A 2,398-nucleotide genomic window follows, 5' to 3' on the forward strand; every position below is an offset into this window, starting at 1 on the left:
TCAGTGTTTAAAAATTCAACATATGGGCTGGGCATGGTGGCTCACATCTGTAATCCTAGCACTTTGGGAGGCTGAGGCAGGCAGATCACCTGAGGTCAGGAGTTTGAGACAAGCCTGACCAACATGGCAAAAACCCATCTCTACTAAAGGTACAAAAATTAGCTGGGCATGGTGGCAGGTGCCTGTAATCCCAGCTACTCAGGAGGCTGAGGCAGGAGAATCACTTCAACCCAGCAGTTGGAAGTTGCAGTGAGCTGAGATAGGGCCATTGCACTCCAGTCTGGGTGACAGAGTGAGACTCTGTTTCAAAAAAACTAAATAAATAAAAATAAAATAAAAATTCAACATTTGAATTCTGAGAGATGCATGGTTCAACCTCTAACACACGGCCAGGAGATCTGCACACAGGCAGCCTGGCCCTGCACCCAGCCTCAGGGCTATTCAGAGTGTGGTCTGTGACCCTCAACCTCAAGTGCCACCCTGGGTTTCCCTTAGTTCCTTGAACACCTTTTTTTCAGTAAGTCTTTAGGAAGGTAACATAATGTAGGTAATTCATTCAAAGTAAGAATGTAGCTCCATTAATGACATAAGTGCATTCTGTCCTGGTTTTGTTGGACTATTTTATTCTTCCCCTTTATTTGTCCTCCCTGGATGTTAAGTCAGCCCTGTTGGGTGATGTAAAAAGGGCGAGTGTGATCTCAGGGCTCTTAGGGAGAGGGTCAATACCGTGACAGCATCAGTCAGGCAGTCTCTCACAGGAGCCATCGGCTTCCTGCGGCTTCCTCCAGAGCCTTCCTTCCTGCTGCTCCACAGGGGCTGCTGCACGGGAGACGCTGCCCTGCTGAGCTGTCATTTAAACTTATTCTGAAGATTAACAAGGCCCATCACTTGCAAATACTAAGCCCCTATCATGAACACAGTAAAATATTTACTTGAACAAATTAAAATATTCTATTCAATGATGATTCAGAATAAATTAAAATACTGTAGAAGTGTGTTTTATGTAAATATTTTCTCTTTTGTTCTGGATTTTAATTATCTTGAATTTTTATTTGCAGAACATTTAAGGAAGTTTCTGTTTTAAACCAGCCTTGGAGGGTTTTCATGACAAGGAATTGCACATTGGATGATCATTTCTACCTTTTGCAATAACTACTTCTTATTTGCAAGTTGTGTTTAAGTGAACAAAGGCAGTAAGTACTAAATAATTGAAAACTATTTTTTAGCAGATTTGTTGGATAACAACTATTTAAGGAGGTTAAACAAATGCCCTTCAGATTTTCAGTCAATATTGGCTATTACTAAGCTGACTTGCTTCTTTAATCACAGGGCTTCATATGAAGTCCAGTAACTATGACTTTGAGAAGATCCTTGGTTTCCACAGCATGTATGATTCATACCCACAGGTTTCCCTGTGAAACCTTTTCCAATCTTTTACACTATGCTTCAGAATCCTGTACCTCCTACTTAAAATAAAGAACACTTAACTAGTAAAAATATGATACTGCAAGATGAGTGTCACTAGATGATAGCATCATGCCTCCACTGTAACCCTGTCTTCATATTTAAACGCAGATACACTGTTTACTTCTTCATAACATAAAGAGATACCAAATACTTATTCAATACCTAACAATATGCAGCATTTATATGAACTTTGACTGGGTAATCTTTCTCAAGTGGGTCCTAGAACATACATACACACACTCACACACACACTGAAAGTATCGATATAAAATATAGGTACAAAAATGTTTCAGCAGAGATTACAGAAGAATGTTGAAACTGCATAAGGCATGTTCAGAAATTTCAGAGCCAGTTGAGCAGCAAAAAACACAGAAATCCTGTCAGGAGATACTATTTCCAAAATCCTCAGAACAAAACAGTCAAACTACAGCGAGAAACCTTAGAGTGTGTTCTTGGGCAAAATCTAAGAATTTAGCCAAGGTCAAAACCCGAAGTGTCAGAGTTCACCAGTTCTGTCATCATAATTTTTCCAGGACTCATTTTCCTCATCTGTATGATGAGGGGGTTAGCCTGGATAAAATACAGGGCCTAACCAATGCCCTGTCTCTGTAAGGGCAGCAATATTGTGGAAGAATTTCTGCACTTTAAATATCCATCTTGGCAGCAAATCCTCAGAGTCATGAAGTAGCACGTCGTTTATCCTCGTGTATCTGGGCACAGACGCTAGTGTTACATCCATCCCTCACTACTCATCAACATGAGTCCAAGACATCGATCAGTTCTTTATTTAGAGATAAAATGACAGGATAGATCCTCTCTGTGTGTTTATTTCACAATTCCTTCATGACTTGCATTCCCCTTTCTCATCAGAATCAGTGCCCTCCATTTCTTCTTAAAGGATGGTATTTTGACATAAATGGAAATGATTTTT

The 2,398-nt window shown here is 40.0% G+C and overlaps 1 annotated feature.

Annotated features, from left to right (window-relative positions):
• Window positions 462-1,055: an enhancer, noted in NCBI's record as "OCT4-NANOG-H3K27ac hESC enhancer chr9:43490487-43491080 (GRCh37/hg19 assembly coordinates)". NCBI's record gives its function as "activates a minimal SCP1, AML or CMV promoter by ChIP-STARR-seq in primed H9 embryonic stem cells {active_cell/tissue: H9 hESC(primed)}" and the evidence as "EXISTENCE:reporter gene assay evidence [ECO:0000049][PMID:30033119]".

The sequence above is a fragment of the Homo sapiens genome, chromosome 9 (genome assembly GCF_000001405.40).
Source record: "Homo sapiens chromosome 9, GRCh38.p14 Primary Assembly".
NCBI classification, from domain to species: Eukaryota; Metazoa; Chordata; class Mammalia; order Primates; family Hominidae; genus Homo; species Homo sapiens.